At 46.4% G+C, this 23,291-nt stretch overlaps 1 protein-coding gene across 2 annotated transcripts in view, besides 6 other annotated features; it reads right to left on the bottom strand.

The window, feature by feature from the left end:
- Positions 1 to 9,964, bottom strand: part of NYX (nyctalopin) — a 28,310-nt gene extending 18,346 nt beyond the window's left edge. Inside the window, exons 1-2 of one of the 2 annotated variants that reach the window (NM_001378477.3) lie at positions 9,791 to 9,964; positions 9,381 to 9,458 (exon numbers count right to left, since the gene is read on the bottom strand). In NM_001378477.3, coding sequence (NP_001365406.2) covers positions 9,381 to 9,402 — 22 coding nt within the window. In that variant the 5' untranslated portion in view covers positions 9,403 to 9,458; positions 9,791 to 9,964. Of the gene's footprint in view, positions 1 to 9,380 lie in introns of both variants that reach the window. The other variant, NM_022567.3, reaches the window with a different exon arrangement.
- Positions 11,839 to 11,888: an enhancer, noted in NCBI's record as "active region_29559". NCBI's record gives its function as "activates an Ori minimal core promoter by ATAC-STARR-seq in GM12878 lymphoblastoid cells {active_cell/tissue: GM12878}" and the evidence as "EXISTENCE:reporter gene assay evidence [ECO:0000049][PMID:35858748]".
- Positions 12,009 to 12,078: an enhancer, noted in NCBI's record as "active region_29558". NCBI's record gives its function as "activates an Ori minimal core promoter by ATAC-STARR-seq in GM12878 lymphoblastoid cells {active_cell/tissue: GM12878}" and the evidence as "EXISTENCE:reporter gene assay evidence [ECO:0000049][PMID:35858748]".
- Positions 12,229 to 12,298: an enhancer, noted in NCBI's record as "active region_29557". NCBI's record gives its function as "activates an Ori minimal core promoter by ATAC-STARR-seq in GM12878 lymphoblastoid cells {active_cell/tissue: GM12878}" and the evidence as "EXISTENCE:reporter gene assay evidence [ECO:0000049][PMID:35858748]".
- Positions 14,218 to 14,287: an enhancer, noted in NCBI's record as "active region_29556". NCBI's record gives its function as "activates an Ori minimal core promoter by ATAC-STARR-seq in GM12878 lymphoblastoid cells {active_cell/tissue: GM12878}" and the evidence as "EXISTENCE:reporter gene assay evidence [ECO:0000049][PMID:35858748]".
- Positions 14,608 to 15,117: a silencer, noted in NCBI's record as "silent region_20775". NCBI's record gives its function as "represses an Ori minimal core promoter by ATAC-STARR-seq in GM12878 lymphoblastoid cells {active_cell/tissue: GM12878}" and the evidence as "EXISTENCE:reporter gene assay evidence [ECO:0000049][PMID:35858748]".
- Positions 15,228 to 15,277: an enhancer, noted in NCBI's record as "active region_29555". NCBI's record gives its function as "activates an Ori minimal core promoter by ATAC-STARR-seq in GM12878 lymphoblastoid cells {active_cell/tissue: GM12878}" and the evidence as "EXISTENCE:reporter gene assay evidence [ECO:0000049][PMID:35858748]".

Below are 23,291 nucleotides of genomic sequence, written 5' to 3'. Positions count from 1 at the left end.
AGATGGAGTTTCGTTCTTGTTGCCCAAGCCTGGAGTGCAATGACACGATCTCGGCTCACTGCAACCTCCGCCTCCCGGGTTCAAGCGATTCTCCTGCCTCAGCCTCCCGAGTAGCTGGGATTACAGGCATGCGCCACCATGCCCAGGTAATTTTGTATTTTTAATAGAGATGGGGTTTCACCATGTTGCCCATGCTGGTGTGAACTCCTGAGCTCAGGTGATCCACCCGCCTCAGCCTCCCAAAGTGCTGGGATTACAGGCATGAACCACCACACCTGGCCTCTGAGGCCTCTTTTATGAGGGCACTAATTCCATTCATGAGGGCTCCACTCTCAGGACCTAATCCCCTCCTAAAGGCGCCACCTCCTAATACCATCATCTTGGGGAGTTGGGTTCAATATATGAATTGGGTGGGGAATGGGGGTCAGAAACATTCAGACCATAGCATGTGTTCTGGCTCCTGAGTACCTTTTAAGCACTCTTTCTACATTTAGAGAATTTCCAACATCATACGTCCTGCCTCCTCAAGATGGAAGCCGGAAACTCTCTTTCTCAACTCCCTTTACAGTTAGGGCTCAGGCATGTGACATAGCTTTGTCAATCAAACACCCAGTAAGACTTGGATTCAGAAGTAGGCACCAGGCAGAAACCAATGTCTGGCCAGAATGATGGCAGAGGCTTTTAGGCTTGCATTTCTGGCACCCAGTACCCAACATGATTCCCTGGAGCTGCCAGGTATGGCCACCAATGGCAGTGGCCACAGGATTTTTGCTGGAGCTGTGCACTTCCTGGTTTAGGCATTGCTCTGGGCAGTGTGGCCTCTAGTAGGAAGCCTGAGAATACCTAATGTCCCTAAGTAAACTCCTTCTTGCCTTCAATGACCTAGAGAAGATGCTTTGCAACAAGAGTCCTGAGCAATATCCTGAATCAGACAGGCTCCCTTAATCTCTCTAGAACCATCTCCCTCTTCCTGGCCTCTCCTCCTTTTCCTGAAGAACCACGTGATGCAATGGCAGGATCTCAGCTCACTGCAACCTCTGCCTCCCGGGTTCAAGCGATTCTCCTGCCTAGTCTCCCAAGTAGCTGGGACTACTGGCACGCACCATCACGCCCAACTAATTTTTGTATTTTTAGTAGAAACGGGGTTCCACCATGTTGATCAGGCTGGTCTTGAACCGCCTAGTCAAGTGATCCGCTCTCCTCAGCCTCCCAAAGTGCTGGGATTACAGGCATGAGCCACCGCACCCAGCCAGTGACCTCTTCACCTTGGCAGAGAAAACAACTCAAATTCAGGACCATGCAGCACCCCTCAACCAAAAGGAAACTGCTCCCCATTCGCTGACAGGAAATACATAACATCAAATCAAACACTGTTTAGGACATCCCTGGTTTTGCTGAATCCAAATGAAAAAATAGCCTCTCCCAGAATCAGCAGTGATCATTCCAAAAACGAATCTCCTTGGCTATTCAGAGCTGGGTTCCATGGGAATACCTTGGCCAGAAAAACATTTACCACATTAAAAATAAAGATTACAGTTTGTGAAAAGAGAAGGTGAAACTCATTTGGCAGTTGCTTAGCAATTTCTCTTCTTGCACCGGTATTTTGGGGAAGGATCCATCTGGAAATCGGAAAAAGGCTTCAGAGCTTTTTTTTCCCAGTCTGAGGTAGGGAGGGGAAGATGAGAAATAAATGTAGCAGGACTGCCCTGGGCTCATGACAGGTCCCTACTCAGCCAGCCTCTGTCATCACCCCGGGATTCACATGCAAGGCTTTCCAGAACATTCGGTCTTAAAATACTCACCCCGAGGGCACAGCCTCTTGACCTAGTTCTCTCATAAACTCTGAGGACACTCTCATCCCTGTTCTGTCATACTGCTTTAAAAAAAAAAAAAATCCTCAGGCTGGGCGCAGTGACTCATGCCTGTAATCCCAGCACTTTGGGAGGCCGAGGCAGGCAGATCACCTGAGGTCAGGAGTTCGAGACCAGCCTGACCAACACGGTGAAACCCTGTCTCCACTAAAAACACAAAAAATTAGCCGGGCATGGTGGTGGGCGCCTGTAATCCCAGCTACTCAGGAGGCTGAGGCAGGAGAATCACTTGAATCCAGGAGGCGGAGGTTGTAGTGAGCCGAGATTGCAACACTTTACTCCAGCCTGGGCAACAGAGTGAGACTCTGTCTCAAAAGAAAAAAAAAAACAAAAAAACAAAAACCTCAGACAACCTCTGTCTCTCAGTTTCCTCATCTGTAATTTGTAGACAGTTATGGGGGACAGATGTGTCTCGTTGCTTGACACAGCTGTGAAAACACTGGCCCAAGCTAGTTGTGGGCTCTTATGAACCATTCTTGTCACAGGATTAAACCTCACTAAGGCACAAATCCTTCAAAGACCATGTGGAGGCCAGGTGCAGTGGCTCATGCCTGTGATCCCAGCACTTTGGGAAGCCAAGGTGGGAAGATCACTTGAGCCCGGAAGTTCAGGATGAGCCTGGGCAACATGGCAAGACCTCATCTCTACAAAAAATACAAAAATTAGCCAGGCGTGGTGATGCACACCTGTACTCCTAGCTACTTGGAAGGCTGAGGTGGGAGGATTGCTTGAGCCAAGGAGGTCGAGGCTACAGTGAGCTGTGCCTGTGCCACTGCGCTCCAGCCTAGGTGACAGAGTGAGAGCCCATCTTAAAAAAAAAGGATCAGCCGGGCGCAGTGGCTCACACCTGTAATCCCAGCACTTTGGGAGGCTGAGGCAGGTGGATCACAAGGTAAGGAGTTCAAGACCAGCCTGGCCAATATGGTGAACCCCGTCTCTACTGAAAATACAAAAAATTATTCAGGCATGGTGGCATGCACCTATAGTCCCAACTACTCCGGAGGCTGAGGCAGAGGAATTGCTTGAACCCGGGAGGCGGAGGTTGCAGTGAGCTGAGATCACGCCACTGCACTCCAGCCTGAGCGACAGAGTGAGACTCCATCTCAAAAAAAAAAGGGACCATGTGGAAATCTGCCCTAGAATGGAAAGCAAGACACCAGTTGTCAGAATACTGAAGCTATTACTAGGGATAGGCTGTAAAGAGGAGTCTGGAGTCTAGGATGGTTCATTTCCAGGGCTGAACATTAGAATCACCTTGTGGAGCTTTGAAAACTCACAGTGCCCAGGCCATACATCAGATCAATTACATCAGAATCTTCAGGGGTGGGATCAGGCATTGGTATGTTTGAAGCTCCACAGGTGATTACCATATGCAGCCAAAGTCAAAAATCAAAGGTCTAGATGCACCAATTTTATAAAAATGGGATTCATCTGTGTGATATAAAGAGTTACAAAGTGTAATGTAGAGTTAGTATATGACCTAGCAATTCCATGCCTAGGCATATGCCTAAAGGAATTGACAGCAAGGTCTCAAAGAGACAGTTGCACATGCACGTTCACAGCAGCATTATTCACAACAGCCCAAGGTAGAAACAACAAATGTCCATCAGCCAATGGATGGATAAGCAAATGTGGCATAACTATACAACGGAATATTATTTGGCCTTAAAAAGGAATGAAGGCCTGGCACGGTGGCTCACGCCTATAATCCCAACACTTTGAGAGGCCAAGGCAGGCAGATTGCTTGAGTCCAGGGGTTCAAGACCAGCCTTGGCAACATGGTGAAACCCCATCTCTACTAAAAATATAAAAATTAGCTGGGCATGGTGGTGCATGCCTGTAGTCCCAGCTACTCGGGAGGCTGAGGCATGAGAATAGCTTGAACCTGGGAGGCGGAGGTTGCAGTGAGCAGAGATCGTACCACTGCACTCCAGCCTGGGCGACAGAGCAAGACTCTATCTCAAAAAAAAAAAAAAGAAGAAGAAGAAGAAAATAAGATAGTTAATGGTTAATTTTATCTTGTGTGAATTTTCCTTCAGTTTTTTAAAAATCTTACAAGGCGTCCCTGAATCTGGGAAAATAAACACCAGAAATGGCTCCCTGCTTGTGTGTCCCTATCGGGTGTCCTGGCCAGCCCCCGAGCTGCAAGGAGGCAGGGATGGCCAGCCTCAGGCACCCGCATAATGAGGTCTAATGCAGACCATCTGAGCAGTTTCTCTTTCCTAAGCCCTCGGCTTTTCAAATATGTGCTTTCCCACCTTGAGGTTTGCTAGGAGAACAGCTACTTGGTGTTTCCAACCACAGACTGAGATTGGAATGTTTCTTTATTCTCATTGTTTTAAAAGAACTTGAGCCTTATGAAACCAAAAATAGCAAGGGAAAACATGGTCAAATTTCTGGTTTCAGCAAAATCTATTTAGCTACCTTGGCTCTAGAAATCACTTTCCTTCCATTCTTGGCAAATGCTACCAAGTGGCTCCTCGGACCAAAACCCAATGCTGGATCTTCAAAACAAGACTGGCTGGAGGAAACAGAAGTGCGGAGGCGGAGACCATGCTGTGGCCTCTGGCCTCCTGTGACCCCAGAACTTGGTTTTCACCCCATGCAGGTACCTTTTGTGACAGGAAAGAAAGGATTCGAGCTGCAGTTTTGCTGGCTAACGTGAGTCATAAGGGATGGAGAAGTCAATGTTTCCAGAGGGGTGGTGTGCTGGTAGCCTCGCAGGCCTGGTGAAACTTGAAGATGAACATCTGTCCCATCTAAGGAGAAGAACGCAAGGCCCCAGAAAGGCCTCCGGGCCTAAATATAAACAATCACCTCAAACTGGAAACAAACACCCGACAATAGGGGAATGGATAAACTAACCAGTCAATCTGTACAAATGAATATTACTAGGCATTCAAAAGGAAAAACTACTCTAATCCACGTAATAACGTTGATGAATCTCACATACATGTTGCCTGATATACCACACTGCCTGACTGTGGACAGTGAAGCATTTTTTCTGCTTCTGGTACAGCCACTCTCTCCCTCCAGCCTTCATTTTTTCTTTTAAATCAAGTTGATTAAGGTATACTTTACTTACAATAAAATGTACCCATTTTAAGCGTGCAGTTCAGTAAGTATAATAAATGTACACATGCCTGTGTAACCACCACCCCAATCAAGACTTAGAACATTTCTGGCTGGGCACCCAGCACTTTGGGAGGCCGAGGCAGGAGAATTGCTTGAGGTCACGAGTTCAAGACCAGCCAGGGCAACATGGCGAAACCCCATCTCTACAACAAAAAACAAAAATTAGCCAGGCATGGTGGTGCACATTTAGTCCCAGCTACTCGGGAAGCTGAGGTGGGAGGATCCTTTGAGCCCAGGAGGTTGAGGCTGCAGTGAGCCATAATCGCACCACTACACTCCAGCCTGGGCAACAGAGCAAGACCCTGTCTCAGAACAACAACAACAGCAACAGCAAAAAGACTTAAAACATTTCTACCACCCAGAAAGTTTCCTCAGGCTCCTTTGACTTCAGTCCTTTTCCCACCCCTGGCTCCAGGCAACCACTGACCTGCTTTCTGAACTATAGATTAGTTTTGCCTGTTTTAGAACTTTACAGAAATGAAATCAAGGTCGGGTGCAGTGGCTCACGCATGCAATCCCAGCACTTTGGGAGGCCGAGACAGGTGGATCACCTGAGGTCAGGAGTTCGAAAACAGCCTGGCCAACATGACAAAACCCCATGCCTATTAAAAATACAAAAATTAGCAGAGCATGGTGGGGGGCACCTGTAATCCCAGCTACTCAGGAGGCTGAGGCACGAGAATCACGTGAACCCGGGAGGCGGAGGTTGCAGTGAGCCAAGATCACACCACTGCACTCCAGCCTGGACGACAGAGCAAGACTCTGTCTCAAAAGGAAATGAAATCAAATGCTTATTTTGCACAACCTTCTGTAAAGTTCATCCATGTGGTCATGAATATCAGTTGATCATTCCTTTCTATTGCTGAGCAGTATTTCCCTGGATAGAGGTGCCTCAATTTGTTTATTCACTCACCTGTTGATGGACATTTGCATTGCTTCTAGTTTCAGCCTATCGTGACTAAAGCTGTGACATGTGTTTTTGTTTCTCATTTATCTAGGAGTGGGATGGCTGAGTTATATGATAAGTATGTATTTCACTTTCTAAGAAACAGTTCTTCAAAATGGTTGCACCATTATACATTCCCAGCAGCAATGTATGGGAGTTCCAGTTACTCCACATTCTCACCAACATTTGGTGTTGTCAGTGTTTTAAATTGTAGCCATTCTTGGCTGGGCATTGTGGCTCACACCTCTAATCCCAGCACTTTGGGAGGCTGAGGCAGCCTCACTTGAGCCTGTCACTTGAGGCCAGGAGTTTGAGACCAGCCTGGCCAACATGGCAAAACCCCATCTCTACTAAAAATGCAAAAATTATGGCTGGGCGTGGTGGCTCACACCTGTAATCCCAGCACTTTGGGAGGCCGAGGTGGGCAGATCACTTGAGGTCAGGAGTTCAAGACCAGCCTGGCCAACATGGCGAAACCCCCTCTCTACTAAAAATACCCAAAAAAAAAAAAAAAAAAAAAAAAAAATATATATATATATATATTAGCCAGGTGTGGTGGCTCACGCCAGCAATCCCAGCTACTCAGGAGGCTGAGGCATGAGAATCACTTGAACCCAGGAGGCAGAGGTTGCAGTGAGTCGAGATAGTACCACTGCACTTCAGCCTGGTCGACAGAGTGAGACCCTGTCTCAAAAAAAAAAAAAAATGTAGCCATTCTAGCTGTGTGAGTGGCACCTCATTGTGATTTTATTTTCCTATAGACTTCCTTTAAAATGCAAATCTTGGTGGGGCACGGTGGCTCACACCTGTAATCCCAGCACTTTGGAAGGCCAAGGCAGGCAGATCACTTGAGGCCATGAGTTCAAGACCAGCCTGGCCAACATGGTGAAACCCCATCACTACTAAACATACAAAAATTAACCAGGTGTGGTGGTGGCGCATCCCAGCTACTCTGGAGACTGAGGCACGAGAATCACTTGAACCCGGGAGGCAGAGGTTGCAGTGAGCTGAGATCATGCCACTGCACTCCAGCCTGGGCAACAGAGCGAGACCCTGTCTCAAAAGAAACACACACAAAAAACACAAACACACAACCCCTGACTCTCTTTGAAGACTCAGTGTAGAGGAAGTCACATGTGAAAGACCCTGTAAAAGAAGTTAAGGGTTTCAGATATTATGCTGTGAACAGCGGGAAGACCCCAGGGGTTAACATGGGGGGAGGAGGTGGAGGTATTTGCACTTATGCATCTGAGAAGTGGGGCACTTCCAGGAGCCCTGTGTGTCCAGAGGAGAATTTCTCTTGCCCCAAATTTCCCTGCTGCGAGCCACTTCTGATTTCTCCAAGGTGTTGTTTTGTGAGGCTCACTTAGTCATTTTCTTTCTGGCCAAGGAGGTAGAGCACTATCCCTGCCTGCTTCTCGGGAACATATTGTCCGTATTGCTTGTGACTCGCAGTCAGAGAAATATTCTCTGTGCTTGCTAGAGTGTGTTTTAAATTAAAGTGCCAGGGGATGTGGAGATGGTCATTAATTTTAAGTGCATCTATTGTTAGCAAATGATGTCACCGCTGAGCTCTCCAACTTGTCACAAGAAGTCTGGATATATTTCGGGTTTCTGTAGCAGGGACAGTTCCTGTTTTGAAGTGTGCAGGCTATGAATACGGTCTGCTTTCTGTGAGGAACGGTAGAGCTTTTGGTGCACGTTTAAAATGATACTGGCTGTTGGAAGCAAACATTGTGCCCCAATGAGTCAATCAAGTTTCATTTTTTTTTCAAGGTAGGAGGAATGGCAAGAAGTTGACTGTTAGTAATTATATAAATATCAACCTCTGTTCTTTAGAACCTCTTCGAGGTAGGAAGTCATGTCCTATTTATCACAGTGTTCCACGTGCCTTGCTCCAATTTTTTTTATTGCTTATTTATTGAATCTCTTATAAAAGAATTTTCTCAAAGACAAAGAGCATGCTATTATATCCCTCATAAATATCTCTCGAGCGTTTTGAAGGCACACAGTGTATGCCTGTTGGTTGACTGAACAGAGCAAGTTCCGGTTTTTGAAAAGGTGGAATAAAGAGGAAGAAAACTCCATTACTCCTGTTTTAGATGATCTGGTAAAATGTTCTCTATCAGCATCGCATACAGAGGTCTATTACATAGATCATCATATCTCAAATAATTAAATTCACTTGAGGGTCAGAAAAAAACAGATTCTTTGTGTAGAATCATTTACTGAAGAATTTAAAGGATTTTTCCTTGGGCTATCTCAGTCAGATTGGAACAGCTAGAGCCAGGGAAAATATTTCATAACGAGTCTTCTTGGTATATTAAAGTGCACATAACAGAGCGAGAAACTTTGAAAAATAACTTCAATATCCATAATCCTATAATTCCAAGGCATTTTTCATTTTTTCTTTTTCCTTTAGGAAGGTGGTTTTTTAAAGGGACTTTTGTTTTTAACTAAATGAGCTTAAAATAATGTGATTAGAAACCACTGTAGGCTGGGCACGGTGGTTCATGCCTGCAATCCCAGCACTTTGGGAGGCCGAGACAGGCAGATCACCTGAGGTCAGGAGTTCAAGACCAGCCTGGGCAATATGGCGAAACCCCGTCTTTACTAACAATACAAAAAATTAGCTGGGCGTGGTGGCAGGTGCCTATAGTTCCAGCTACTCAGGAGGCTGAGGCACGAGAATCACTTGAACCCGGGAGGCGGAGGTTGCAGTGAGCCAAGATCCATGCCACTGCTCCCCAGCTTGGGCGAGAGTGAGACTCTGTCTCAAAAAAAAAAAAAAAGAAAAGAAAAGAAAAGAAAAAACCACCGTACGGTGGCTCACGCCTGTAATCCCAGCACTTTGGGAGGCCGAGGCGGGCAGATCACGAGGTCAGGAGATCGAGACCATCCTGGCTAACATGGTGAAACCCCGTCTCTACTAAAAATACAAAAAATTAGCCAGGCGTGGTGGCGGGCACCTGTACTCCCAGCTACTCGGGAGGCTGAGGCAGGAGAATGGCGTGAACCCGGGAGGCGGAGCTTGCAGTGTGCCGAGGTCGCACCACTGTACTCCAGCCTGGGTGACAGAGCGAGACTCCATCTCCAAAAACAAAACAAAACAAAAAAACACTGTAGCACTGTAGCTTTTGGTTATCACACCAATGAATTCATATCTGAAATTAGAATAAGAAAATCACCAAGAGGACTATTTCATATATTCGGCTCAGGAGTTTTGTTTTTAGGAAACAAAAATCCCCACCACCTGCTGTTTTCTTGCTTTCTCTATCCCCTCCCCCACGATCACAGGGTCAGTGAAACCTGATCAGAAGTGTCCAGATACCGCTGTCCCAGAAGCCACTTTAAAGACTCTTTGGGCAGAAGCTCTGTGGCTTCCACCCCTCTTCCCAACCCTTGCACCCACCGGCAGGAGAACTCACCATGCAGAAGCAGGACCAACATCCCTCGGCCTTTCATCCACCCAGTGGCTTAGGACCACCCAGCCGTGGGACCCCTACCTGAGGGGAGAAAGGACAGGTCACCCAGTGCCCAGGAGGGCCCCATGAGAACCCTCCCATGCCTCCACACTTCTTCCTGAATGCCCTGCCTTTCTTTCTTCCTCACATTCCTTCCTTCTTAATGACCCTGGTGTTGGGCTAAGGGAAACCAGTAACAACAGAAAATCAGAAGCTCCCCACAAATGGACAGTTTGGATCTATTAGGAAACCCTTTGTCAGGCTACAGCCCTGACAGCAACTCAGATGGCATCACTGACAACCCAGCAAGGAAATGGATGGAGAGGAAACCCCTGCAGAGAAGCGTTAGTGAATGGTCCTCAAATGTTGCTTACCGTCCTGGGAGTCTCCCTGGTCCTGCTCCTCTGAGGTCCCCCTCCACTCCCTCAGCCCATCCATCTCCCAAGTCAGGCAGCCACAGATGCTGAAAATGGTTTGAGAGAGAAGTAAAGGTGGGGGTGGGGGGACGGGAGGAAGGGGTGAAGAGGAATAGTTACTTGTGCAGGTTTGAGTGCTTATTTTTCTTTCTCCAGATTTAATGGCAGGAAAATCCTCTGTATCACATGAGGATTAACAGAGATGAAAGAATGTGTCTGCCTTTCGAATCACTAAAGCCAGTGACAGATTTTGCTGACATACCAATCGGCTTTATCCCCGGGCCTTGACCACCCTGGCCCTCCTGTCCTCTCTCCATCTGCCTGGCCCCTTTCTCTCCTTAAACCTTCCCCAGACCCTGCCCCGTTCCCTGACCCCAGCCCCAGCCCCAAGCAATATGTAGCCTGAAATTGGCTTCCTGCCACCCAAACAGCATTATCAGCATTTTCAACAAGGACGCATTATATAACTTGGAGAGCTGGAGAAGGGACAGGACAGCTTAAAATGTTTCCCCAAAATGCCGGCTGCTGATTTCCTTTCTTTGAAGTGGTTGATGGTGAATGATACAAAAACGGACTGGAGAGAGTCCTTCCACTACAAGAAGGCAAGAGGTTCCCACTGGGGTTAGGGCTGGTAGTGGTGGCCTAAGGCAGTGGGTCCAGGAATGGGACCTTCAGAATCTGGCTGAGGTTTCTGAAACCCACCAGGACTCAGTTTAGGCCCTGGCTACTCAGTGTGGCCGGTGGACCAGCAGCAGTACCTGAGAGCTCGTTAGGAAAACAGAATCTCAGCGCCTTCTACCCCCCGCCCCAGACCTGTTGAATCAGCATCTGCTTTTTTTTTTTTTTTTTTTTTTTTGAGATGGAGTCTCACTCTGTCGCCCAGGCTGGAGTGCAGTGGCACAATCTTGGCTCACTGCAACCTCCACCTTCTGGGTTCAAGCGATTCCCCTGCCTCAGCTTCCTGAGTAGCTGGGACTACACCATGCCCAGCTAATTTTTTGTATTTTTAGTAGAGACGGGGTTTCACCATGTTGACCAGGATGGTCTTGATCTCTTGACCTTGTGATCCACCCGCCTCGGCCTCCCAGAGTGCTGGGATTACAGGCGTGAACCACCGCGCCCGGCCAGCATCTGCATTTTAACTAGGTCGGCGGAGAGGGGGATTCCTGTGCCCGGTAAAGTTTGGAAAGCCCTGTTTTAGGAGACTGGTGGAGGGGGTCTGATCAAAATGAGGGTGGCAGGGGGGCCTGTTTATCTAGCCTTTCTGGCCAGCAGTTCAGGTGCCCCCACATTCTCCTGGCCCCAGCAAGCCTCTGCTGTCTGCTGGGACAGCACTTCCAGGTATCCATGGCAACCTGCCAAGTTCTGGCCACGCAGGACTTGGTGAGCCAGTGCTGATGAAAGGAAGCCAGGAGTTCCCTTCCCACAGAAAGGGTTCTGGATGTGAATCTAGACATCTCAGGCCACCGTGCCCTGGGGAATTTTTGTTTTCTTCCATTTGAGCCTTGAAAGCCAAAATGTGGCTGAACTTGTCTAACCTGCTGGAAAGAAGAGAATACTAGGGATGGGGTAGGGATGTGGGTGGGGGAGGCCTCTCAAATGACATCTCTATCCCCAGTGTTGGACTCGCCTGGCTTATTAGATGAGAGCAGTGGGCAGCCCTCTCATTGTGACCACCAGTGTCGGAGGTGTCCCTGTAGCCATCACCCCAAGCCTTAGCCCAACGAAGCCCCCACTCCCCCAGCAGCAGTCCAGAGGCTGAATCTCGACTGTAAGAGCCAACCTGTCTGCACCCACAACCTTTGTTCGCAGCTTATTGGTCCAACCTTCCCTTCAATCTTCTCCAGGCCAGTGGGCCTGGTGCTCTGGCACTGGGATCCCACTAAGGAAGACCTTCTTCTCCACCTGTGAACTGAAACATTTCTCCCAAGTGGAAAATAAGGAGGCATCAGAGACTCTTGGCATAAAAAGGAAGGAGCCCATCCACCAGGTGAGCTGGTACCACCGACTTGGGAGGATGAGCAGCCCTTAATCAAAACCTTGCTGCAGGGAGAAAAGCAGGTGGCCCAGGGTTGTTACAGGAAATGCGATTGACTGACTTCCCCTGGGAGAAACTTAAAGCTCAAGACAGGAGAAAGGCCGGCCCTTTCAGAGCCTACTCCAGCCACTCGTGGGCTGCTGGGGGAGGGATTTTTTCGTTTTTGTTTTTGAGATGGAGCCTTACTCTGTCCCTCAGGCTGGAGTGCAGTGGCGTGATCTCAGCCCACTGCAACCTCTGCCTCCCGGGTTCAAGCAATTCTCCTGCCTCAGCCTCCTGAGTAGCTGGGACTACAGGTGAGTACCACCACACCCGGCTAATTTTTTTTGTATTTTTAGTAAAGATGAGGTTTCACCATGCTAGCCAGTTTGGTCTCGAACTCCCGACATCAAATGATCCACTGGCCTCAGCCTCCCAAAATGTTGGTATTACAGGCGTGAGCCACTGTACCTGGCCCTCCTGGGGTGGTTTTGTACCCATGCTAGTTCTCACTCATCATGCAGTTGGTAGCCCATAAAAGGAGCTGAAGGAGGGAGAAGGGGTGTGTAAGTGACCTTGAGAAATAGTGATGGCCCAAGATGCATGATTTTGCCAGCCTCCACCTCCTGGATTCAAGCCATTCTCCTGCCTCAGCCTCCCAAGTAGCTGGAACTACAGGCGCCGGCCACCATGCCTGGCTAATTTTTGTGTTTTTAGCAGAGATGGGGTTTCGCCGTTTTGGCCAGGCTTCCCCACCTTGGAATTGGTAAGAATTACCGATTAATTAAGACAGCCGGCGACTACTGGAGGCTTTGCCTGCTATCTGGAGGACACAGATTTGCCCTCCAGCCTTTCTGCCCTGTAGTGACAATTCACAGACACCCCAACCCTGGGTAGCCCTTCCTGGGCCTTTGCTTTGCTCCTTTCTTTCCCCACTTCTCCACCTGCTGAAATCTCAATCTGCCTGCTATGCTTAGCATAAGCGCTACCACCTCTAAGAAATGAATCCCCTTCCAGTGCCCTCCTTTCTCACTTGCAGGCATCTGCCTCGAAGTTCACAGTGTTTGTTTGTTTGTTTGTTTGTTTGTTTGTTTGTTTGTTTTGAAACTGAGTCTCGCTCTGCTGCCCAGGCTGGAGTGCAGTGGTGCGCTATCGGCTCACAGCAACCTCCGCCTCCCGGGTTCAAACAATTCTCCTGCCTCAGCCTCCGGAGTAGCTGGGATTACAGGCACGCGCCACCATGTCCGGTTAATTTTTGTATTTTTAGTAGAGATGGGGTTTCACCATATTGTCCAGGCTGGCCTCAAACTCCTGACCTCAAGTGATCCGCCCACCTCGGCCTCCCAAAGTGCTGGGATTACAGGCGTGAGCCACCACGCCAGGCCTGAGCCACTGCGCCCAAAGTTCATAGTGTTTGGATGGCTGGCCTCCTTGGAGGGGCTGTGCTTGATCCAAGTCTGCACTCCCACAATGTCTGGCTGGTGTCGCCTTCAGACAGGGCAAGAGGCAGGGAGACACAGGGCAAGGAGTCATTGAGGCCAAGACACTTACCCACCCAGAACCACGTTCTGGATACCTGCGACCTGGGAATTCACTGCCCAACAGGTTCTGAACCCACTCCTCTAGGTCCAGTCTCCTGAAGGTGGATGGTCTCACCAATGTGCATACTCGAGAGGTGATCCTTTAGGGGGTAGACAGTTGCAGAGAAGGGGACAGAGCTTGGATATGAGGACGTGCGTGGGAAAGATCCGCTATAGCATGGGATGGATCCGGCCTGGGAATAGAGGGAAGCTACGCCATGGCCTTGAGCTGGGGCCACTCTCTGTGCCATCACACCCTAGCCCAGAATGCTGAGGAATGCAAGAATTGCAAACTTGAATTTAACCTTCCAGATTGTTATGAAGGTATATCTGCTCAGATAGGAGGATAGAACATGTTTTATTTAACAGTTTTTTAGCTTGATGTGTAGCTTTTAAATATTCAGACATACAGTGTGTGGTCCTCCGTGCGTACTCTTGCCCCAGGCCCCACAAAGCTGGGCCCAAGCCTGGGTTTGGCACACAGGCGGAAGTGCACAATTGTTTGCTGAAGGGAATTGAAGCCCATGTGAGAATTTGTAAGGGAGCTATAGAAAGAGAACCGGGTGAGTGACAGCCTTGGCCTCTTACCCTTCCTTTTTCTCTGACTTACTGGATGGTGTCAGGACAGGGACTTTCAGTTCCTAGGCCTGATTGTACTCGAAACATATTCCATAATCTTGTCCAGACCCCTCATTCTTCAAGTGAGGAAACTGAGGCCCAGAGAGATTAAGTGACCTGCTCCCCAGAGTGACATATGAAGGTGGAGCTGGGACCCAGTGGGTACCCTGTCCTCCTGCCTCCCAGTCCCTGGGTTTTTCTCGGGTCCTAATAAGGACACACACAGCCCCTGTGGCCACCCCCGACGTCCCCACTGCATGCCTCAGATCAGGATGGGGGAGGGGTAGCCACTCCCCTCTTGCTGGGCACCTCTAAATGACCTTGGCTGAACCTATTCTGTGGCTAAAGCACCCAACTCCCTTGTTCTTTATTCGCAAACTATCCTACTTCTGTCGTTTCACATCCGCCCTTCCAATCCAAACCCCAGCTCAGTGGGGTTGGATTGGATCAGCCTGGGCTCCCGGGCCTCATTTCTGGAATTGGAGGAAGGAGGAAGAGAGGCGAGAGTGCCCTCATTCCGCTGACTCCCAGTGTAGTGACAGTGACGTCGCCCCAACGGCAGGCCCGGACACAGTTAGGTGCGGGCTCGCGCCCCATCTGGTGCCCCGGGGCTCAGGGCGCGCCGCCGCGGTCCTGGAGGGGCAGTAGGCAGCGAGTCACTGGGCTGGACGTTTCCGCTCTGGCTCCTCCCTCCGCGGGCTTCAGAAAACTAGTTCAGCTCGCTGGCCCCGGCTGGCAACCGTGCGTGACACAGTGGTTTTTTTTTCCCATAAAGGTCACGTCCTTGCGAAACCTCTGCAGCCTCTGCCGGTAACCACCACCCCGGCCCCACCCTGGGGAGAAGGGGCGGAGCCTCCGGGGCGAGCCACGCCCCCGATGAGCCCGGTCCTGCCCAGCGTGGCCGCCAGAGGGCACCGAGGTTCGGGAGTCGGGGTGGGGCGGCCCCGGGACCTCTGTCTGCTCCCCGCCGCGGCACCCGCACCTACTCGGTGGGGGCGGGGGCCAGGGCTGGGGAAAGTCCCAGGGCGTGCCTGGTGCCAGAAACGTTCCTCACGCACCTGGAGTCGCAGAATGCCCGGGCTGGAAGGGATGCCAGGGTGGGGACCTAACCTGCCAAAGGTCACACCCTGGGGAAGATCTCCCAGTGCCGTGTCCTCCTGACCAGGCCGCGTAGTGCGCATGGCCTGTTTGTCACCTGTAAATGAAGGGTTAGCTCACCAACAGGCTCTGCCCACTGCCCACAAATACACCTTCCTGGGGCCTCTTCTGAAATCATCGTTCTTTACATTGCATCCAAAGTAGGTTTCTCTCCCATTGCAGCAGATGTCAAACAAAAAACAAAGTAGGTCTCTCCATTTCCCGATACAGTTGACCCTTGAACAATATGGGTTTACACTTCGCGTAACCACTTACACTTGGATTTTTTTTTCAATAAAAGTTACACCAAGGGCCGGGCGTGGTATTTTTGGTAGAGATGGGGTTTCACCATCTTGGCCAGGCTGCTTTTGAACTCCTGACCTGGTGATCCACCTGCCTCGGCCTCCCAAAGTGCTGGGATTAAGGGCGTGAGTCACCGTGCCTGGCCAGTTATTGTTTGTGTATGTGTGTGTGTTTTGTGGTTTTTTGTTTTTTTGTTTTTTGTTTTTTTGAGACAGAGTCTCACTCTGTCGCCCCGGCTGGAGTGCAGTGTTGCAATCTCAGCTCACTGCAGCCTCCACCTCCCAGGTTCAAGAGATTCTCCTGCCTCAACCTCCTGAGTAGCTGGGACTACAGGCATGCACCACCATGTCTGCCTAAATTTAAAAATTTTTTTTTGTTGAGACAGTGTCTCACTATGCTGCTCAGGCTGGTCTTGAACTCCTGAACTCAAACTATCCTTCTCCCTTGGCCTCCCAAAGTGTTGGGATTATAGGCGTGAGCCACTGTACCCAGCAGAGAATATTTGTTTGCTTGTTTGTTTTGAGATGGAGTTTCACTTTTGTTGCCCAAGCTAGAGTGCCATGGCATGATCTTGGCTCACTGCAACTTCCATCTCCTGGGTTCAAGTGATTCTCCTGCCTCAGCCTCCCAAGTAGCTGGGATTAAAGGCATGCACCACCATGCCTGGCTAATTTTGTACTTTTAGTAGAAATGGGGTTTCACCATATTGGTCAGGCTGGTCTCGAACTCCTGACCTCAGATGATCCATCCACCTTGGCCTCTCAAAGTGCTGGGATTACAGGTGTGAGCCACCTCACCTGTATATATAGAATATATATAGAATATACATAGAATATATATAATCCATATAGATTATACATAGAATATATATAGAATATATATAGAATATATATATAGAATATATATAGAATATATATATAGAATATATATATAGAATATATATAGAATATATAGAGATTATATATAATCCATATATATAGAATATATAGAGATTATATATAATCCATATATATAGAATATATAGAGATTATATGTAATCCATATATAGAATATATATAGAATATACATAGAATATATATAGAAAATATATAAGAATATATATAGAAAATATATAAGAATATATAGAATATATATAAGAATATATATAGAATATAGATAAGAATATATATAGAATATAGATAAGAATATATATAGAATATAGATAAGAATATATATAGAATATAAAGAATATATAGATATAGAATATAGATATAGAATATATAGATATAGAATATATAGAGAATATAGAGAATATATATATAGAGAATATATAGAGACAGAATATATATATTCTATATATTATATATAGAATATATATATATTCTATATATTATATATAGAATATATATATATATTCTATATATTATATATATTCTCTTACAAAGTTATGTTAGTTGACTCTTGATTGCAAGGTACAAGTATCTAACTCAAAACAGTTTAAGCTCAAAAGTGAATTTCCTGGAGAGAGGAGAGAATCAGGAGTTATAGTTTAAAGGGTATAGAGCTTCAGTGTGAGATGAGGGAAGCATTCTAGAGAAGGATAGTGGTGATGGTTGCACAACAATGTAAGTGTACCTACTGCTATTGAATTGTACTTTTTTTTTTTTTTTTTTGAGCCTCACTCTATCACCCAGGCTGGAGTGCAGTGGCACGATCTCGGCTCACTGCAACCTCCGCCTCCCAGGTTCAAGCAATTCTTTTGCCACAGCCTCCCACTCAGAGGCTGGGATTACAGGCGTGCATCACCATGTCTGGCTAATTTTTGTATTTTTAGTAGAGACAGGGTTTCACCATATTGGCCAGGCTGGTCTCAAACTGCTGACCTCAGGTGATCTGCCTACCTCGGCCTCCCAAAGTGTTGGGATTACAGGCGTGAGCCACCGAGCCCTACTTGCTTTTATTTTTTTTTTAATTTTATTGACCTGTGGTTTGACCATTTGGTGGATGGTGTTTCTGCCTTTCTGTGAATACCAAAACAACCTAATACATTGAATAAACTGGTTAATGTGTGCTAAACTAATGAAAGAATGAGTCTTTATTGTCCAATATAGGATCTTAGTTTTTTTATATGTTCGTTTGTTTGCAGATGGTATGATCTATGTACACTTGAAAAGAGACAATATTAACTTGTCCCATCTCTAATCTCTCCATAAGTCTGTTAAATTCATATTGTTCATGGACTTGTCTTCTAGCATGTAGCACAGACTTAAAATCTAGTAAGCCCTGAAAACAGTTTTTTGAAAGAATTATTCAATTATACAGTATTTTTCAATTTAGTTTGTGTCTATTTTTTCCAGAAATGGAATATTGAGGGTTCCAATTAAAATCATATTTACTTCTTCTTGCCTTTTTGTCTATTTTCTTTTATGGGTTTGTTACAATGGTTTTTGTAACACATACATTCAGTATTTTCAATTTTCATAATGTAATATACATTTGAGCATTATGTAATGACCTTATTTATTTATTGTACTGCCTTTTGCTATGACATGACATCTGCTTTATCTGCTACTAAAATAGTAATCCGAGCTTTTCTTCTGTTCACATGGGAATATCCTCAAACATTGCTACTCTCTTGATGATGATTTTGGTTTGTGCGTCTCTTGTTTGCAAAAAGTTGTTAGATTTTGTTGTAGGCAGTTGGTAGGCTGCCATTTTTTAATAGGAGAGTTCGGTCTGTTTACATTTAATTCTTTAATTGGTAAAATTTTACCATACCCTGTTTCCTTTTAGGTTTAATTTTTATTTGTTACTTCCCTTTCAATTTATGGAGTTTATGTAGATTACTTAACTTTTTGTTTCTGGCTGGGCATGGTGGCTCAGGCCTATAATCCGAGCACTTTGGGAGGCCGAGGCAGGCGGATCACCTGAGTTCAGGAGTTCGAGACCAGCCTGACCAACGTGGTAAAACCCTGTCTCTACTAAAAAGACAAAAAAAAAAAAAAAAAAAAAAAAAAAATTAGCCGGGCATGGTAGCACACGCCTGTAATCCCAGCTACTTGGGAGGCTGAAACAGGAGAATCCCTTGAACTCGGGAGGTGGAAGTTTCAGTCAGCCAAGACTGGGCCACTGCACTCCAGCATGGACAACAGAGTGAGACTCCGTCTCAAAAAAAAAAAAAAAAAACTTTTTGTTTCCTTTTCTTTTCTTTTTTGAGACAGAGTCTCACTCTATCTCTCAGGCTGGAGTGCAGTGGCATGATCTCGGCTCACTGCAAACTCCACCTCCCAGGTTCAAGCAATTCTCCTGCCTCAGCCTCCCGAGTAGCTTGGGCTACAGATGTGTGCCACTACACCTGGCTAATTTTTGTATTTTTAGTAAAGATGAGATTTTGCCATGTCAGCCAGGCTGGTCTCAAACTCCTGACCTCAAGTGATCCACCCACCTCGGCCTCCCAAAGTGCTGGGATTACAGGCATGAGTCACTGCGCCGGGCCTTTGTTTCCTTTTAAATGACATCAGAAGATTTTGTTTTTCTTTCTTTTTTTCTTTTTTTTGAGATAGCCTCACTCTGTCCCCCAGGCTGGAGTACAGTGGCACTATCTCAGTTCACTACAACTTCCGCCTCCTGAGTTCAAGCAATTCTCATGCCTCAGCCTTTTAAGTAGCTGGGATTACAGGCATGAGCCACCACACCTGGCTAATTTTTGTAATTTTAGTAGAGACAGGGTTTCATCATGTTGGCCAGGCTGGTCTCGAACTCCTGACCTCAGGTGATCCTCCCGCCTCACCTTCCCAAAGTGCTGGGATTACAGGCATGAGCCACCTCACCCAGCCTAATTTTTGTTTTTCTAACATTTCTATTTATTAGGTTTTTACACAACTGTTTTGTTCCAGTATTTACTTCTGTTCTTAGCATACTTTGAATTCTCATGTGGGGATGTTAAACATATAGTTTCAAAACTTTATCCTCTGTTTCTTTGTTCTCTGCCCACCCCCATCATCTATGATTACTAGATAGTCTCATTGAAATTCAACCTGTACCAATTATTTCTAAAAAATTGTTACTGATTTATTTTACTTTTTCTTGTCAAGCTTGTCCTTTATTAATGTTAGAATGTCCTGATCTCTCATTTGCATCTTGCTGTTTGCAAACCTCTATTGTCTTGAAATTTTACTTTTGGCTTAAGCTGGACCATCAAAGAGCTGTGTACCTGTGCCTGATCAGGGTGAGCATTTGTGGTATAACATTTATGGAAACTTGCCTTGGCATTATGCCCCCCACCTATGTTGAAGATGTTAATAAGTAGTCCGATTTAGCTGCTTATTTATTATAGAGATGGGTTTCAAAGTTCATTTTTGGTTTTTTAAATATCACAATGCCTCTATGTATGTATGTGTGTGGGCCTGGGAGACAAAGTTTTCGTTAGAAACAGTGGAATTGTGTATTAATTGCATTTCCATCTTTTAATTGGCTGCTGGCTGTTAAGCATCAAATTTGAAAGTCATCTCTGTTAAATACAATTTATGGAGGCCATTGATTAGACTGAGCTCCTGCACAAAACCCCAACAGACCAACCCAAAATGCAGTCACTCATGCTGTTTCCATATCACCAAACCAAAACCTAAGCTGTTCACTTGTCAGATAGGGTCTTTCAAGAAATCAGAGAGGGCACCACCCTCATGAATAGAATAATGTCATTATAAAAAGGGCTTGTGGCTGTAGGTTCGCTCTCTCCTGCTCTTCTGCCATGTGAAGACAGAGGTTATCCCTCTCTTGCCCTTCTGCCTTCTGCCATGCAAGGATGCAGAAGGAAAGTCCTTGTTAAGGTGCTTTGATTTTGGACTTGCCAGCCTCTAGAACAGTGAGAAATAAATTTCTGTTTTTTATGAATTACCCAGTCTGAAACTGCCTTAGTCTGTTTTCTGTTGCTATAACAGAATATCTGAGACTGGATGATGATGATGATGATGATGATGATTATTATTATTATTATTATTATTATTATTATTATTATTATTATTTGAGATGGAGTTTCGCTGTTGTGGCCCAGGCTGGAGTGCAATGGCATGATCTCAGCTCACTTCAGCCTCTGCCTCCCGAGTTCAAGTGATTCTCCTGCCTCAGCTCCTAGGCTCAGGTGACCCACCCGCCTTGGCCTCCCAAAGTGCTGGGATTACAGATGTGAGCCACTGCGTCCGGCCGAGACTAGATTATTTATAAAGAACACAAATTAATTTCTTACAGTTCTGAAGGCTGAAAAGTCCATCTGGTCGGCTTCTGGTGAGGGCCTTGTGCTGTGTTCATAACATGGCAGAAGGCATCATAGGGCAAGAGGGGCTCTGAGAGCCAAACTGGCTTTTATAATAGATCCACTCTTGCGATAACCTATCAATCCATTAATCCAACCACCTCTTAAAGGCCCCACCTCTTTTTTTTTTTTTGAGCCATGGTCTCAGTCTGCCACCCAGGCTGGAGTGTAGTGGTGCAATCTCAGTTCACTGCAACCTCTGCTTCCTGGATTCAGGCAATTTTTGTGCCTCAGCCTCCCTAGTAGCTGGGACTATAGGTGCACGCCACCACACCTGGCTAATTTTTGTATTTTTTGGTAGAGATGGGGTTTCACCATGTTGGCCAGGCTTGTTTCGAACTCCTGGCCTCAAGTGATTCACCTGCCTCAGCCTCCCAAAGTGCTGGGATTACAGGCATGAGCCACTGCGCCCGGCTAAGGCCCCACTTCTTAATACTGTTGCATTTGAAATTAAGATTCAATATGAGTTTCAGAGAGGACAAGTATTCAAACCATAGCACAAGTATTCTGTTGTAACAGCACAAAATGGACGAAGGCATCCCTTCTGCTTTAACCCGCACAAGTAAAGTAACCTGAAGTAACCCGATGTTAACCAATACGATTTTGTATTACGTTGTTTCCTTTTTCCTGCTGGGTCCGCCTTACAAAAGCTGATCAGTCTGCCAAGACCAGCAAAGCTCCTTCTATTTTGTACACAGGATATTACCCAATTCATGAATCGCGAATAAAAACCAATTAGATCTTTAAAACTCCGTTTCTTGAAACTTTGTTCTTTGACACCTCTAAAAACAGTACATGTCCACCATCCTCCGCAAACACAGAAACAGAAAACCAAACACCGCATGTTCTCACTCATCAGTGGGAGCTGAACATTGAAAACACACGGACACAGAGAGGGGAACAACACACACCAGGGCCTGCTGAGGGGTAGGCGGTGAGGGGAGGGAACTTAGAGGATGGGTCATTAGGTGCAGAAAACCACCATAGCACACGTATACCTATGTAACAAACCTGCACATTCTGCACATTTTCCCGTTTTCTTTAGAAGAAATTAAAAAAAGCTCATCCCTCCCCAAAAAAAAACACAAACAAAAATTTTCTCTTAAAATGTCAAATCCCAAGGTTGTAGTTTTTTGTTTTGTTTTGTTTTGTTTTGTTTTGTTTGAGATGGAGTTTCACTCTTGTTGCCCAGACTGGAGTGCAATGGTGCGATCTCGGCTCACCGCAACCTCCGCCTCCTGGGTTCAAGTGATTCTCCTGCCTCAGCCTCCCGAGTAGCTGGGATTACAGGTGCCTGCCACCATGCCTGGCTAATTTTGTATTTTTTTAGTAGAGGCGGTGTTTCTTCATATTGGTCAGACTGGTCTCGAACTCCTGACCTCAGGTGATCTGCCGGCCTCGGCCTCCCAAAGTGCTGGGGTTACAGGCGTGAGCTACTGCACCCAGCCAAAGTTGTAGTTTTGACTCAGGATTTAACCAGCAAGATATTTATGACAATCAAACTCAAATGAAATATACTTCATAGCAATGAAAAATAAAAAAACAACCACAAACAATACATGTTAGCCAGGCGCTGTGGCTCATGCCTGTAATCCCAGCACTTTGGGAGGCTGAGGTGGGTGGATCACCTGAGGCAAGGCTTTTGAGACCAGCCTGGGCAACATGGCAAAACTCTGTCTCTACAAAAAATACAAAAATTAGCCGGGCATGATGGCCTGCACCTAGAGTCCCAGCTACTCGGGAGGCTGAGGTGGGAGGATTGCTTGAGTTCAGGAGGCAGAGGTTGCAGTGAGCTGGGATTGCGCCACTGCACTCCAGCCTGGGTGACAGAATGAGACCCTGTCTCAAACAAACAAACAAACAAACAACAACAACAAAAACCCAAAAAACCCAGTATATGTTACATCATGAATTTTATACACTAACCTAGGCTTCATTCTGTTTTTCCTGTCCTGTTTTCCTTCCTGTCCAATTTCTTCACTTTGGTTAGAAAAAAGTTGATTTTAAAAAGTCTTACTGTAGAAGCCCAATTTATTTTATTTTACTTTTGTGTTGTATGCCACTAGACTTCCTTTTGGTATAAGTTTCAAATAATAACACTTGGCCGGCCACGGTGGCTCACACCTGTAATCCTAGCACTTTGGGAGGCCAAAGCGAGTGGATCACCTGAGGTCAGGAGTTTGAGACCAGCCTGGCCGACAAGGCGAAACCCCGTCTCTACTAAATATACAAAAGTAAGTGGAACATGGTGGTGGGCGCCTATAATCCCAGCTACTTAGGAGGTTGAGGCAGGAAAATCACTTGAACCCGGGCGGGTGGAGGTTGCAGTGAGCCGAGATCGCACCACTTCACTCTAGCCTGTGAAAGAGCGAAATTGTCTCAAAATAATTATAATAATACTCTTATTTATATGTGCCAAGACTGCTCAATGAATGTTTCCTGAAAGATTGAGTAAGCGTTTTCAAATTTGTGGCTCATCATCTTTGGACACTCATTGCACTGCAATTATGTGGA

The sequence above is a fragment of the Homo sapiens genome, chromosome X (assembly GCF_000001405.40).
Source record: "Homo sapiens chromosome X, GRCh38.p14 Primary Assembly".
In the NCBI taxonomy this organism is placed as follows: domain Eukaryota; kingdom Metazoa; phylum Chordata; class Mammalia; order Primates; family Hominidae; genus Homo; species Homo sapiens.
This window is presented reverse-complemented; position numbering and strand designations above follow the sequence as displayed.